We start from the raw sequence: 16,139 nt of genomic DNA, 5'->3' as shown, positions 1-16,139 counted from the left end.
AAGTTGAGTGTTAGAATTTGGATCAATGTGGGGGCCTATGCAGGCAACTGATTTTTCCTCCAGCAGAGCAGTGATCAGGTAATAGGACCATCTATGGAGGAAGTAGAGGACACTTCAATTCCTGGACAATTAAACTATCTGTAAAGCACGTGTGCCTGATTTCTTGTTTAATAAATTCAGTTAGTTTTGTGAATTTTTTAATTTAAATATGAGGATTAATTTTATTATTTTACTATGGTAGAACGGACTTAGAAGTGAAAAGAAACCCAAGAATTATTTAACTTTGCAATTTTTCCTATTCCATATGAGGAAAATCAGTTTTTTAAAAATTTGAATTTCATCTTTGGTTTAGCGTATTTGGTCTTTTTAGATAAGTATAAAGCTGGAAAGAAATAGTTTTTTAGACTTTTTAGAAACTTAACTCCTAAATATAACCTGTGCCTGGTACAATATTTAGATGTTAAAACTAGCTTATTATTATTTTTTAAGCTTTTAGCTTCAGGGGCACATGTGCAGGTTTGTTATATAGGTAAACTGTGTGACACATGGGTTTGGTGTACAGATAATTTTTGTCACCTGGGGAATAAGCATATGTAGTTTTTCCGATCCTCTCCCTCCTCCCATCCTTCATCCTCAAGCAGGCCCCAGTGTCTGTTGTTGGCCTTCTACTACCCATGTGTTCTTGTTTACACTAGCTTATCTTAATATCCCTTTAAGACTTTTCGGGAGGGGTTGAAATCTGAGCCAATGCTGAGTCAACGCGTATTTTGAATTTTAGTAATGGACCTTCTTACTTATATGAATCGGAGGCCAACCTGTTGAACATGCCTTCATCATCACTGGCCAAGGAGCATCTATTACATATTTTCCCCTCATCCTTGTTTTAATGCCACTTCCTGGTCTAATTTGTTGCCAGTAACAAATACCAGCATTTGTTAATGCTGTTTAAATCAATACGATTGCACTGTATATTACAAATGCTGAATAAATTCATGGCTATGTACAAATCTAAGTTTAATGTTCTAAAATAATATCTGTGAAACTTTGAAATTTGTTTTAATAAACTAGTCCTAGAAGATGTATTTCAATTAGAAGGAATCTCAGGCTGGGTGTGGTGGCCCATGCCTGTAATTCCAACACTTCAGGAGGCCTAGGAAGGAAGGTTGCTTGAGTCCAGGAGTTTGAGACCAGCCTGGGCAACATAGTAAGGCCCCCATCTCTACAAAAATAAAAATAAAAAAATTAGCCAGGTATGGTGGTGTGTGCCTATAGATCCAGCTACTCAGGAGGTTGAGATGGGAGGATACCTTGAGCCCAGGATATCTAGGCTGCAATGAACCATGACCATACTACTGCACTTCAGCTTGGGTGACAGAGTGAGACTTTGTCTCTCAAAAGAAAAAAAAAAGAAGGAATCTCATGTGCAAAGATCATTGGCAAATTTATCTTCTGAGTGAGATGATAACAGCTACTACTGTATATTAGGCATCTACTAAGCACAAATAAAGACTGAACATCTTTTTTTTTTATTATTTGTATTTTTTTTTTTTTTTTTAGAGGGAGTCTCGCTCTGTTGCCCAGGGTGGAGTGCAGTGGTGCAATCTTGGCTCACTGCAACCTCTACCTCCTGGGTTCAAGTGATTCTCCTGCCTCAGTCTCCTGAGTAGCTGAGATTACAGGCACCCGCCACCATGCCCAGCTAAGTTTTGTATTTTAGTAGAAATGTTGTTTCACCGTGTTGGTCAGGCTGGTCTAGAACTCCAGACCTTAAGTGATCCACCTGCTTTGGTCTCCCAAAGTGCTGGGATTACAGGTGTGAGCCATGAACATCTGTTTAACATATGTTTTTAAAAAAACATTGATCTATTTCTCATCTCTTTGTCTTTTTGTTTATGAATTTCTTATTTCTGGTACCAAAAAATTTAATTTCCCAGAGCTTTCTTTTCTCATTGATGCAATAGTTACTATTGTCTTTTTGTGGATATTAATTACACTTTCTCTGAAGTTTTTTTTTTTCTGCTCTCTGAATTGGCCCTGTTTGTTCTGAGTTCTGATTTCTTATTTGTTTTTTTGGTCTCTCACTTTGATGTTGGCAGGATTTCTTCCAATGCCTGGTGATCTTTGGCTGTTGAATAAGTGAGGGACTGGGGGTGGGGAGGGGGTGAAGGTTGAAAAAGTAACTATGTTAGTACTATGTTCACTTAGTGGTTTTCCAGGTGGTGAGATCAATTGCACCCCAAACCTCAGCATCATTCAATATACCCATGTAAAAACCTGCACCTGTACCCCCAAATCTAAAATAAAAGTTGAAAGTATTAAAAAACAAAAACAAAAGAGCAAACAAACACAAAGTGAGGACTGAAAGGCCAAATGAAACCTCTTCGTGCTCATGGGAAAGACCTGATAATTGGTAGGTATTACTTTCGCGTGATTAGGTGGGACTCCACCATTTCATGGGGACATCACCAAATGTCAAACTCTGCAAGCTTTTTTCTTGGGCTTCCTCTTTCCCCTAAAGGGGATCCTTCAATTGCCCGTCTGTCTTAATAGCCTGACTGCTAGTTTTTTTGGGAGCAAATCAGGAGAAATATATCTGGGGTCATATAATCCAGTCTGCAGCTTTTCACTTAATTTCCCTATTTTCTGTTAGGTGTCTCCCCCTCCCTGACCTGGGTCTGGGGCCCCCAAATCTGGAGTATCTCTGATTCAACCCCTTTAGAAAGAAAATCTAGTCTTCTAATAAGTTGTGAAAAATGGATTTACTTGGGGGAAGGTAAATAAAACATGGGTAAGGACCTGAGATATTATTTCGTGTTTCTGTTTATATTTTCTTCCTTCCTGTGTATTCTGATCTCAGGATTGCTTTGTCAATTAAGAATTAAGAGGATGTTCTCAGTGTAACTGTATCACAGACTGCGTAATGTATTCCTCCTCAGATTACTGGGATGGAAATTCGGCATGTGCAGCCATTCATTTATTCAGCAAATATTTATTGAACGGCTGCTTTGTTTCAAGCAGTACCATAGACACTTGGGGATACAGCAGGTGAGCAAGATGAGCAAGACTGTCCTGAGGTACAAGGGCCCCAGCATTGATCTATTCACTTCATTCCTTCACTTACTCCTGAGCCCAGCATTTTATCTATTTGCTTAATTCCTTTACTTACTCATGAGCCCCAGCATTGATCTATTTGCTTCATTCCTTCACAATAAATACGTTGAGGACCCACTATATGGCAGGTAATGAGATAGGCACACAGGGTTATAAGATAAACTAGAGACATAACCTCTGCCTTTATTCAGAACATCGTGCAGAAAGGAAGAAAGACAATTCACCAGTGTGAGCTGAGCAAAGCTTGTGAGAGGGGAGTACGCGGTGCTCCAAGAGCATGGAACAGAAGGCTCTTACCTAATTCATGAGTCAGGAAAGTTCTCCCATAAAAATTAACAGTAAAGCTGCAACCTGAACGAAAAGCAAGACTGATACAGGTGAGGAGAGAAGGTGAGTGAAAGGCTTGAGGAAAGGCAGAAGAATGTGGCTGGTCTTTCGCGGAACTGGAAGAAGGGGGATGTGGCTGCAGTATAGATAGTGAAGAGAAGATGGAGCTGGACAGGTAAGCAGGGTCCAGTGGTTGAACGCTTTTGTAGGCCACAGGATAAAGCTGATGGTGGCTTGTCCTATATGGAGCTGAAGCAGAGGAGAGAGGTGGAAAATTGCCATGCTGCTTGGAGGGTAGGATCAAGATGACTTCGTGATGGACTGGATCTGAAGCGAGGGGAAGGGGAAATTTAAAGATGACTCCTAAACTTCTAGCTTAAGCAACACAGTGGATATCCTGCTTTCAACTGAGATTGAAGACCCAGGAGCAGAAGCAATTGTGGTGAGGGTAATGAAGGAGGCAGCAAGGAAGACAGCTCCATTTTGCACAAATTGAGTTTGAGGAACCTGGGGATATCCAAGTGGAAAGATGCAATAGGCAGCTGGGTATATGGGTCTGGAGAGCAGGCGAGTCATGCTGGCTAGTGATGCCAATTGGAAGTATTAGCATATAGCTAGAGTAAAATGTGGAGTCTAGGGAAGGTGATGTGTTTTTGTTTCTGTTTCGCTTTGGTTTTTGTTTTGAGACAGGGTCTCACTCTATCACCCAGGCTGCAGTGCAGTGGTGCGATCTCAGCTCACTGCAACCTCCATCTCCTGGGTTCAAGCGATTCTCCTCAGCCTCCTGAGTAGCTGGTATTACAGGCATGAGCCATCATGCCCAGCTAATTTTTGTATTTTCAGTAGAGACAAGGTTTCACCATGTTGGCCCGGCTGGTCTTGAACTCCTGACCTCAAGTAATCCACTCGTCTCGACTTCCCAAAGTGCTGGGATTTCAGGCATGAGCCTCTGTGCCTGACCAGCTGATGTGTTTTTGTTTGGTGAACAGCGATATGCTTACTTAAAAAAAATTTTTTTTTATTTACAAAAAATTATTGGTGACCGGGTGCGGTGGCTCATGCCTGTAATCCCAGCACTTTGGGAGGCCGAGGCAGGAGGATCACGAGGTCAGGAGTTCAAGACCAGCCTAACCAACATGGTGAAACCCCGTCTCTACTAAAAATACAAAACTTAGCTGGGCGTAGTGGCATGTGCCTGTAATCCCAGCTACTCAGGAGGCTGAGGCAGGAGAATCTCTTGAACCCAGGAGGCAGAGGTTGCAGGGAGGTGGAGGTTGCAGTGAGCCGAGATCACGCCACTGCACTCCAGCCTGGGCAACAGAACAAGACTCTGCCTCAAAAAAAAAAAAAAAAAAAATATATATATATATATATGTATGTATATGTAGATTCACAGGAGGTTGGAAAGAAAGTACGGAGAGATTCCACTTACCCTTCACTGGTTTTCCTCAGTGGTTACTTCTACATCTAGATAATTAGTGTAATATCAAAACCAGGAAGGTGCATTGGTCTAAGGTGTTCATACAGTTCAATGTTCTTTTATCATTTGTGTAGATTTTTGTAACCACCACTGGCATCAAGATACCAACCTATTCCATCACCACAAAGATCCTTCTTGAGCTACCCCTTTGTGGTCACAATTACCGCCTCACATCCCTAACCCTTGGCAACCTCGAATTTGTTCTCTAGCTCTATAATTGTATTATCTCTAGAATGCTATATAAGTGGAATCATAACGTATGTGAACTTGTTGGAGTCTTGCACTGTTGCCCAGGCTGGAGTGCAGTGGCATGGTCTCGACTCACTGCAACCTCCGTCTCCCAGGTTCAATTGATTCTCCTGCCTCAGCCTCCCAAGTAGCTGGGATGTATGTGAACTTTTGAGATTGACTTTTTCACCCAGTATTTGCTCTTGAGATCCATTCAAGCTCTCATGTATACCAGTAATTCACTCCTTTTTGTTGCAGAGTATTATTCCACGGAATGGATGTATCACAGTTTTGTTTTGTTTTATTTTTCTGTCATTCACCTATTGAAGGACATTTTGGTTGCTTCCAGTTTTTGGTAATTCCCAATGAAGCTGCTATGAACATTTGTGTACAAGCTTTCATCTGGAAATAAGTTTTCATTTTTCTGGGATAAATGCCCAGGAGCATAAATGCTGGGTCATATGATGTACATTTAGTTTTTTTTGTTTTTTTTTTCTTTTCTTTTTTCTTTTATTTTTTATTTTTATTTTTTTGAGAGGGAGTCTTGCTCTGTCACCCGGGCTAGAGTGCAGTGGCTCAATCTCGGCTCACTGCAACATCCGCCTCCTGGCCTCAAGCAATTCTCCTGCCTCAGCCCCCTAAGTAACTGGGATTACAGGTGCACACCACCACACCTGGCTAATTTTTGTATTTTTAGGAGAGATGAGATTTCACCATGTTGGCCAGGCTGGTCTTGAACTCCTGACCTGAAGTGATCTGCCTGCCTGGGCCTCCCAAAGTGCTGAGATTACAGGTGTGAGCCATCGCGCCCAGCCCCATTTAGTTTTTAAAAAACAAACTGTTGCCTTCTTGCTGGCTGTCTTTCTGCCACCATCCTGGTCTCAAGTTCCCTGCACTAAATGCCTGGTGAAGCCACAGAAACCATTCTTGCTACAGAGCAGGAGTTGCCACAGCCCCAGGTGGAGACCGGGTCTGGAACAGAAGCTGACAGTGATAAATCAGTACCAGAGCTCGAGGAACAGGATTCCACAGAGATACCACACAAGCAGCCCAGCTGGCAGCAGCAGCTGAAATCAATGAGTGTCAATCAGTAAAGCAAAACAGAGTTAGAGTGAAAAGAAGGCACGTAAGGCTATGTCCAAACTCGGTCTTCCGTAGATAACAGGGGTTACTACAGTCACTACTGGAAATCTAAGAATATCTTCTTTGTCATCACAAAACCAGATGTCTACAAGAATCCTGCTTCGGATACCTATGTGTGTGTTTTTGGGGAAGCCAAGATCAAGGATTTATCTTAACAAGCATGGGTAGCACCTGCTAAGACACAGAGTGAGCTGTCTCAAACATTCAAGAAAACACACAGACTCCAACTATACAAGACGAGACTGGAGAGGAAAAGGTTGATGATACAGGTGTGGAAGTTAAGGACGTAGAATTGGTCATGTCACAAGCAAATGTATTGAGAGCAAAGGAAGTCCGAGCCTTGAAGAACAAGAGTAATCATATTGTAACTGCTATTACAGAATTAACAATGTGACCACCTGAAAATGACTGTTTTTGTGTGTTTCAAAAGAATAACTGCAACTTGGTTTGAAATTTGTACCTGTTTCTATCATAAATAAAATTATGGCTTCTTCTTGGAAAAATATTAGAATAAAATAAACATTCAAATTATGCAAAGTCCCACAGTCACTGCACTCCCAGCCCAGGCGATTATTAATGGCCAACCACTTGCCTTTTAAAGAATTTCTTGGCATTCTTCTGCTTCCACAATAAAGGAGACTAATCATCTTTTCTCTTATTTTCACCTCTGTCAGGTCTGGGATCTTCCTTTAATACTACCCTGGGCCAAGAGCAGTGGCTCACACCTGTAATCCCAGCATTTTGGGAAATAGAGGCAGTAGTATCACTTGAGCCCAGGACTTGGAGACCAGCCTGGATAACATAGTGAGACTCCTGTCTCTACAAAAACTACAAAAATTAGCCGAGTGTGGTGGCACAAGCCCATAGTTGAGGCTGCAGTGAGCGGCGGTGGCACCACTGTACTCCAGCCTGGGTGACAGAGTGAGATTCTGTCTCAAAATTAAAAAGAGAATAATCTGGTGTCCCTGAAATGTAAGTGACTGTCCTGAGAAATCCTGATGCCTTTTTTTATTTTTAAACTGCAGAGGTCCTTTGTGAATGAGAACTCTTGTTTTCTTTTCTTTTCTTTCTTTCTCTCTTTTTTTTTTTTTTTTTTTTTTTTTTGAGATGGAGTCTTGCCCTGTCACCATGGTGGAGTGCAGTGGTGTGATCTTGGCTCACTGCAACCTCCAACTCTCTGGTTCAAGCAATTCTCCTGCCTCAGCCTCCCGAGTAGCTGTGATTACAGGCATGTGCCACCACGCCCGGCTAATTTTTGTGTTTTTAGTAGAGACGGGGTTTCACTATGTTGGCCAGGATAGTTTCCATCTCCTGACCTCGTGATCTGCCCACCTTGGCCTCCCAAAGTGCTGGGATTATAGGTGTGAGCCACTGCGCCTGGACTGTTTTCTTGTTTAGCAGTTTGCTCATCTACATATACTTTCAGAGACAAACTGTTCTCAGTATTGAGGATTACAATAAACTCCTTTCTCTAATAAAAGAACACTGACTGAAAAAAAACCCAAACGTATCATTACAGTTATCAATACGTCAAATGTATGCTTGCCACGATTTTTCATATGACAAAGTAATTTTTCTTTTTTGGTAAAATAATTTAATTCTAATTTGGTCTTCACTATTGGGGTTGAATTTAAGTTCTTAACCATTCTGGTCCTTATATTTTCTTTTTTTTTGTTTTTACATCCCCATGAACACCAAGGAAGCTCTGTATATTTTCTGTGGCAACACCTGCAAACTTGTTTACCTCAGCAGTTTGCAAATGCCAACTCTAAACCATCAACTGGGTAACTCCAAACACACACACCACACACACACTCCTCTCTCGCTCGCTCTCTCTCTCTTTCTGGAGTCTAGCTTCCTTCTTTCCTCTCCTCCCTCTCCAAAGAGATTCTGATTTAGTTTTAAAACGCTCACCAGGTAATTCTGACCATCAGCCAGGTTTGGAAACTATTGAGATAATTCCTCACATCTGTGTCGGTCTATCTACCCATCCTGCTTTCCTTATTCCAGAAGAGATTTAAGGTGTTGACTTAATTAAATACAGTAATTTGGGAAACCATTTAAGAAAATAAAATATAAACAGTGGTTTCATCTTTATCTTCTTTCTCATAATTTTGTATTTTTTTAAGTTTTCTGATATATATTATTACAGTGATAATCTTTAAAAAGAATGAAACTTTATAGATATAAAATTGAGTTTGGGCAGGGTGTGGTGGCTCCCGCTTCTAATCCCAGCATTTTGAGAGGCCAAAGAAGGCGGATCACTTTAGCTCAGGAGCTCAAGACCAGCCTGTACAACATGGCAAAACCCCATCTCTACAAAAAATACAAAAATTAGTCAGGTGTGGTGGCGCACGCCTGCAGTCCCAGAGACTCGAGAGGCTAAGGTGGGAGGATTGCTTGAGCCCGGGAAGTGGAGGTTGCAGTGAACTGAGATCGCACCACTGCATTCCACCCTGGGTGAGAAGTGAGACCCTGTCTCACAAAAAAAAAAAAAAAAAAAAAAAAAAAAAAAGGCCAGTCACTTGTTAGAGTTGCTGGGCCTATGTATTATACTATTTTATCCTTGATGAGTTATTAATCAAGTATAGTAATTTGATTTTTACAACCCTGCGCTGACACAGAGGACCAGAGAGAAAACCTTTATGGCTGTGACGTTACAGGTTACTGGTAGGATGTAAGACCTCTAAAATTCTTTTTTTTTTGACAGAGTCTCGCTCTGTCGCCCAGGCTGGAGTGTAGTGGCGAGATCTCGGCGCACTGCAAGCTCCGCCTCCCGGGTTCACGCCATTCTCCTGCCTCAGCCTCCCGAGTAGCTGGGACTACAGGCGCCCGCCATCACGCCCGGCTAATTTTTTGTATTTTTGATACAGACGGGGTTTCACCGTGTTAGCCAGGATGGTCTCGATCTCCTGACCTCGTGATCCGCCCGCCTCGGCCTCCCAAAGTGCTGGGATTACAGGCGTGAGCCACTGCGCCCAGTCAAGACCTCTAAAGTTCTAACAGTTTTTGTTTCCTAGGGTCCTGCAACACCCCGCTGAGAAATAACCCTCGTTATACTTAGCAACGTTATCTAAAATATTAAAAGGTATTTCCTTACTCAATTGGAACTTGAAACTGGAAGCATAGTGGAATCACAGAGTGACTCTGAGCTGAAAGAATCATTCAAGATTCCTTGATCCAACCGGCAGCCCCACGCCCGCTGAGACATGATGAGTTTATGGTCAATCGATTGCTTCCCCCTAGTGGCAAACGGTGGTCATACCACTTTCATTTTTAGACATGTTTAACCTTAGAATCATAGTTTAGAAATTATTTTGCACCATGGATTGCTTTGATATGATTATTAAAACATATACGGTGTGATAGTATTATATAGTATCCATGGTAAAACTATTAGCTAATGCATTTAACAATCACAGCAACAATACCTAAGGCAGTCAAAGCTCATTACTTCTCTAGTTTCTTTCTGATTCACTTATGAAACAATTTATCCCTGATTTATAATATTCCTCCTAAGTCTTAAAGAAAATGCACATAGTTGTGTAGTTATAAATAAGCTCTGTTCAGAGCAGACCACATTATAAGCCAGTATGATTAAGATTCCAGAAATGGCAAATTGCCACCAAATAATTATAGCCTTTGGTAACAAACAGAACAAAACAAAAAAGAAAACAATGACACTTTTAACTACCAGATCCAGGATTTGATAAAATGATCATGCCCAGAACGAGCTTTGTCATTTTGTGGCAAATTGTTCTTAAAGCCTCAACTGAACTCAACAAAGCTTTAAAATCATCTTTTGATTTTAAAAGTGGCGTCCCAGAAAAGCTTATATATAATTATATATATATATATATTTTTTTTTTTTTAATGCTGCCTTATTCAGTTTTCAGGAAATTTTTACATGTATGGTATTATTATCATTTGCCCCTTCAACTACTCTCCTTGGTAGACAGGAAAGGTATTAGTATACCTTTTTTTTTTTGAGATGGAGTGCAGTCACACAATCTCGGCTCACTGCAACCTCCGCCTCCTGGGTTCACATGACTCTCCTGCCTCAGCTTCCCCACTAGCTGGGATTATAGGCATGCACCACCACCCCTGGCTAGTTTTTATATTTTTACTGGAGATGGGGTTTCCCCATGTTGACCAGGCTGGCCTCAAACTCCTGCCCTCAAGTGATCCACCCATCTCGGCCTCCCAAAGTGTTGGTATTACAAGCGTGAGCCACCACGCCCCGCCAATATACCTTTTTTACAGTTGAAGAAACTGAGGCTCAGAGATATCACAGAGCAATAGGGTCCCAGAAATGGGACAAAAATCATGGTTGTTTCACTCTTCTTGAAACGCTTCAGACTTTTACATCCAACTGTCTGCTACGCATTTTTACTGGGATGTCTCATCCACAGGCCCTGAGATCCACCTCATCCCTGGATCCCGTTACAGGTAGTGACACTGCCTTCTACTCAGTCGTCAAACAAGAGGTCTGGGAGACCTCCCCGATCCTTTCTTCTCTATCCTCTCTTGCAACTGATGTCTTGCTGATTTTCCTGACCCTCCTCCACTTCGTATTGTACCCTTGTATTAGAGTGCTAGGGCTGCCACAGACTGGGTGGCTTCAACAACAGAAATTTATTTTCTCATAATTTTGGAGCTAGAAGTCCAAGATCAAAATGTTAGAAAGGTTGGTTTCTTCTGAGGACTCTCTCCTTGGCTTGTAGATGGCTGTTGTGTCAGTCTATTTTACGTTGCTATTAAAGAATACCTGAGGCTGGGTAATTTATAAATAAAAGAGGTTTATTTTCGCTCACAATTCTGCAGACAGAATGCTGCAGAATCTTATACTATGCTTCTGTATAAGAAGCATAGTAGGACAGGGGTGGTGGCTCACACCTGTAATCCCAGCACTTTGGGAGGCCAAGATGGGTGGATCACTTGAGGTCCAGAATTCCAGACCAGCCTGGTCAATGTGGGGAAACTACATCTCTACTAAAAATACAAAAATTAGCTGAGTGTGGTGGCACACACCTGTGATCCCAGCTACTTGGGAGGCTGAGGCAGGAGAATCACTTGAACCTTGGAGGCAGAGGCTGCAGTTAGCTGAGATTGTGCCACTGCATTCCAGCCTGGGCAACAGCACCAGATTCCATCTCAAAAAAAAAAGAAAAAGAAAAAGAAAAAAAAAGCATAGTGCTTGCCTCTGCTTCTGGTGAGGCCTCAGAAAGCTTGTTTTTTGTTTGTTTGTTTGTTTGTTTATGTGAGACAGAGTCTTGCTCTGTCGCTAGGCTGGAGTGCAGTGGCGTGATCTCAGCTCACTGCAACCTCTGCCTCCCGGGTTCAAGCGATTCCCCTGCCTCAGCCTCCCGGGTAGCTGGGATTACAGGCATGCATCACTACACCTGGCTAATTTTTTGTATTTTAGTAAAGACAGGGTTTCACCATGTTAGCCAAGATGGTCTCGATCTCCTGATCTCGTGATCCTCCCACCTTGGCCTCCCAAAGTGCTGGGATTACAGGCTTGAGTCAACGCGCCCGACCTGGAAGTTTTTACTCGTGGTGGAAGGCAGAGTGGGAGCAGGCCTGTCACATGGTGAGAGAGAAAGCAAGGGGGGAGGAGGAGCTGCCAGGCTCTCTTAAACAACTAGCTCTCCTGTGAACTAATAGAGCGAGAATTCACTTGTTACCACGGGGATGGCCCAAGCTATTCTTGAGAGATCTACTCTCATGAGGGATCTGCCCTGTGGTAGCGAGCCTGTAATCCCAGCTGCTGGGGAGGCTGAGGCATGGGAATCTCTTGAACCCGGGAGGCGGAGCTTGCAGTGAGCCGAGAACACGCCACCGCACTCCAGCCTGGGCAACAGAGCGAGACTCCGTCTCACAAAATAAATAAAAGCCCTGTCTCCAAATATGTCACATTGTGAGGTACCCGGGGTCAAGACTTCAACATAAGTTGGGGGGGCGGTGCAGGGCATAACCCTGCCCATGACAGCCCTGGTTCATTTCTGAACTGGTTGAAGGCTGCCTCCCTCTGCCCTTGACGCCGCACCACCTTCCTGCCTGGATCCTCTGCTCCCATGTGCTGTCCACATGCTGCTCGAGGACTCCTTCTAATGCGCCACCTATCCTGCTTCTCAGCCCTCAGTGAAGCCCAGTTCCTTCACAGGACGCAGGAATCCTTCTCGAACCTGGCCCTACCTTTCTCGCCTGCCTGTGTTCCTTCCATACTTCTTGTCTTGCGCTTGTCCCAGTGGGTGCTGAACTGCTGTGACCTGGCTGTGCTGTTTCCTGCCTCGATACCTCTGCTTCTATTTATGCCCTCACCCTGAGTTTTTTGCCTTTGCCTGCCTACCCCTTATTCATTCTTCAAAATTGACAGTGAGAGGGAGACTTTTGTGGTTCCTTGAATTCCATCCCAGCTCTGGCTTCTGGACCAGAGAGACTTGCGTGCACGCACAGAACCCAGCGCAGGCAGACGGCATGTGGACAGATCACAGGTGAGCAGATCGCAGTAGGCATTACCTCGGGAACAGTCTGTTAAGGACATGCTGATCACTGCACCAAAGAACTGTCCCCGTACCCCAGGGGGTGTCAGCTGTCTAGGCCAGGTGGCCTGTAGGAGCCACCTCCCTTCATCAGGCAGGCAAAGCTACTGTCTGGTTTTATTATGTCTCTCTTAATACAGAGGCAATTCAATTTCTTCCCACTTTTGGCTGGCTATATAGAGATACATATATATTTTATATGTTTATATACATTTAACAGATTCATACCTGTGAGGCTGATACAAATTTATGAAGATATTAATTTATACCTACCCCCTGACTTTCCCCATTCAAGCTAGCTGCAGGCCTCACCTTAGGGGAAATTTGCGGCAATGTGGAAAACAGAAGAGCTATCGCTGACTTTGCAGTAAGTACTCTGGGTTATCTAGATTGTGATTCATACCCAGTACAGTGGACCCAGGGTTCCATCGAACTTGCTTTCACAGTTTAGCCAACTCCAACCTCATTGCTGTAGCTACTTTAACCCCAGCTAAACTTTAAAATAATAGCACATAAGCACTTCCATACTAGCAAATTTACTGTAAACTTACCCTCGCCCCAGCATGTAATTACCTTTTTTTTTTTGGGACAGAGTTTTGTTCTTGTTGCCTAGGCTGGAATGTAATGGCGTCATCTCGGCTCACCGCAACCTCCTCCCAGGTTCAAGCTATTCTCCTGCCTCAGCCTACCGAGTAGCTGGGATTACAGGCATGTGCCACCATGCCCGACTAATTTTGTATTTTTAGTTTCTCCATGTTGGTCAGGCAGGTCTCTAACTCCCGACCTCAGGTGATCCACCCACCTTGGCCTCCCAAAGTGCTGGGATCACAGGTGTGAGCCACCCCGCCGGGCCATGTAATTACTATTAATGGTTTTGTTTGTAAACCCCACTGCTTCCTGATCCAGGCTGTGTCAGGATCAGCTCTGGCCATCCTCCAACCTCATGTTATCATAAAATACAATGTTTGTGTTTCTAGTTCCTGGTCTGTAAACTTCCCAAACAATGTCATCTTCATCTTTGTATCCCCAGGACCTGGCATTGTGCCAAACACATAGTAATGTTCCCAAAATAATCTGTTGAAAACAAAATGAAAATAATTGGATCTATGGGATGACAGGGCAGGGACAATGAAGTAACTATTTGGAATAATTTTCAGTAAGAAGCTTTTGTTAATGGAGGTGGAGAGTGGAGGTAAATGTCCAGAGGAAACAAAATTAGCCATGGGCTGATAATTATTGAAGCTGGATAATAGTTACCTAGAACTGCAATACTGTAGTTTCTATGCATATATATATATATATAAATTAGGCATATTAAATACATATTCACCAATAAAAAGTAAAAAGTGAAAACAAACCCACGTCTGTTTACTAAGAAATGAGTGTGAGAAGGAAGTGCTAGTTCTATAATGAAGCAGGCTGTCATTTCTGCTTGTTTACTTTGCATTTCAGCACAGCGGCCCTTTGTGAGGAACAATGACAATGACTTCCACCTCTTCCGGGGAGAAGCCCAGATGAGGAGGTCAGTTGCTGTGGCCTGTCAGCCCTAGAGGTGATGTCACCGTCTCCCGAGGACAAAACCTTCATTTAGCTGCAAGAGGGAACAGTTGAGTAGTAAAGTGCTTATTGTTGTGGGTCATCCTTTGGCTCAGATTTTGTAAACAGATTCATCTTGAATGACTGCATGCATAGGGATTACAGGAACGACTGCATTGTCTGAAATGACAAGCCTGGAAATTTCCACTGTAGGGGGATGTCATGGGATTCACTACTGGTATAGACATTAAAACTTACAAAGAAGAAAATTCTGTAGAAATAAAGACATGCTTAATATATTTATTTGAAGAAAGCAGAAGGAAAATAAGTCTGATGTGTATCGCATGGGAAGAGGGACATTATGACGGCATAAAAAAGTTAAAATGGGCCAGGCGCAGTGGTTCATGCCTGTAATCCCAGCACTTTGGGAGTCCGAGGCGGGCGGATCACGAGGGCAGGAGATCGAGACCATCCTGGCTAACACAGTGAAACTCCATCTCTACTAAAAATACAAAAAAAAAAAAAAATTAGCCAGGCGTGGTGGCAGGTGCCTGTAGTCCCAGCTACTTGGGAGGCTGAGGCAGGAGAATGGCGTGAACCCAGGAGGCAGAGCTTGCAGTGAGCCGAGATAGCACCACTGCACTCCAGCCTGGGCAACATAGCAAGACTCCATCTCAAAAAAAACAAAAGTTAAAATGTTGAGATATTATGCCACAACATGGATGAACCTTGAAAACACTAGGCTAAGTAAAAGAAACCAGTCATTGGTTATACAATAACCATATCTGGTATAATTTCACTTCTATGAAATATCTAGCACAGGCAAATTCATAGAGACAAAAAGTAGATTAGTGGTTGCCTAGGGCTGCATGGGGAAGAGAATGAAGAGTGATTACCAATGGGCAGAAGGTTTCTTTTTTGGGTAATAAAAATGTTCTAAAAACGTGGTGACATTGCACAATTCTGTAAATATACTGAAAACTACTTGAGTTGTACATTTTAAATAGCTGAAATTTATGCTGTAAAAATTCTAGCTCAATAAAGCTGTCAAAAATGCTGGGGGTATTGGGAAAAGAGGATTCTTTTTTAAAAATTGTCTTATTGCATCAATTTATTACATTTTCAATAAACAATACAAAATGTATTTTCACATAGTAAAAATCCAGCAAGGATACATCACATTCACCAATGATAATAAATATTTATTTTTGAAAACCCAGACAGTGTATTTCTGATAAATCTTAAAATTGAAGATATTCAAAATTCAGTGCAATCAAATTTCCATTGTCTGTTTGACAATTAAACACCAGTGTGGAGTGCATTTGGTTTTCTAGCAGGTACTGCAGCAGCTGCTGATGGCCTCTTCTCTTTTTTCTCTGTTTCTTTGTCAAGGATGAAGTTGGCAAGAGTTCGCATGCTAGCCAGTGCTCCAGGGTGAGGGAGCAGTGGTCCCTAATCTCAAATGGGAGTTAAATTGGTCTTCCCAAATCACTACCATGGCCCAGTTGTTATTTTAATGGTGTTTTCCTCATGGTTTTGTGTGGCATGGTAGCAAAATGTTATTGAGTTGCCTTCATTCTTCTGTTATCTCTAACCACATATCCAGCTTCCTGAGTTTCTCTTTTTCATTTATAAAATAGGAACGATGACAGTACCTGACTTAAAACTCTACCATGTTAAAAAACAACAACAACAAAACGGTAGCTCTCTCAGGTTGATTCCAAGGCTGGGATGGGGAAAGTACTAAATGAGCCTAGACTCTTGCCATG

General features: G+C 42.6%; 1 pseudogene, besides 2 other annotated features; it reads left to right on the top strand.

The window, feature by feature from the left end:
- Positions 6,007–6,793, top strand: NACAP5 (NACA pseudogene 5; annotated as a pseudogene).
- Positions 9,134–9,253: an enhancer, noted in NCBI's record as "active region_21349". NCBI's record gives its function as "activates an Ori minimal core promoter by ATAC-STARR-seq in GM12878 lymphoblastoid cells {active_cell/tissue: GM12878}" and the evidence as "EXISTENCE:reporter gene assay evidence [ECO:0000049][PMID:35858748]".
- Positions 13,429–14,025: an enhancer, noted in NCBI's record as "OCT4-NANOG hESC enhancer chr4:17546395-17546991 (GRCh37/hg19 assembly coordinates)". NCBI's record gives its function as "activates a minimal SCP1, AML or CMV promoter by ChIP-STARR-seq in naive H9 embryonic stem cells {active_cell/tissue: H9 hESC(naive)}" and the evidence as "EXISTENCE:reporter gene assay evidence [ECO:0000049][PMID:30033119]".

Source organism: Homo sapiens, chromosome 4 (genome assembly GCF_000001405.40).
Source record: "Homo sapiens chromosome 4, GRCh38.p14 Primary Assembly".
NCBI classification, from domain to species: Eukaryota; Metazoa; Chordata; class Mammalia; order Primates; family Hominidae; genus Homo; species Homo sapiens.
This window is presented reverse-complemented; position numbering and strand designations above follow the sequence as displayed.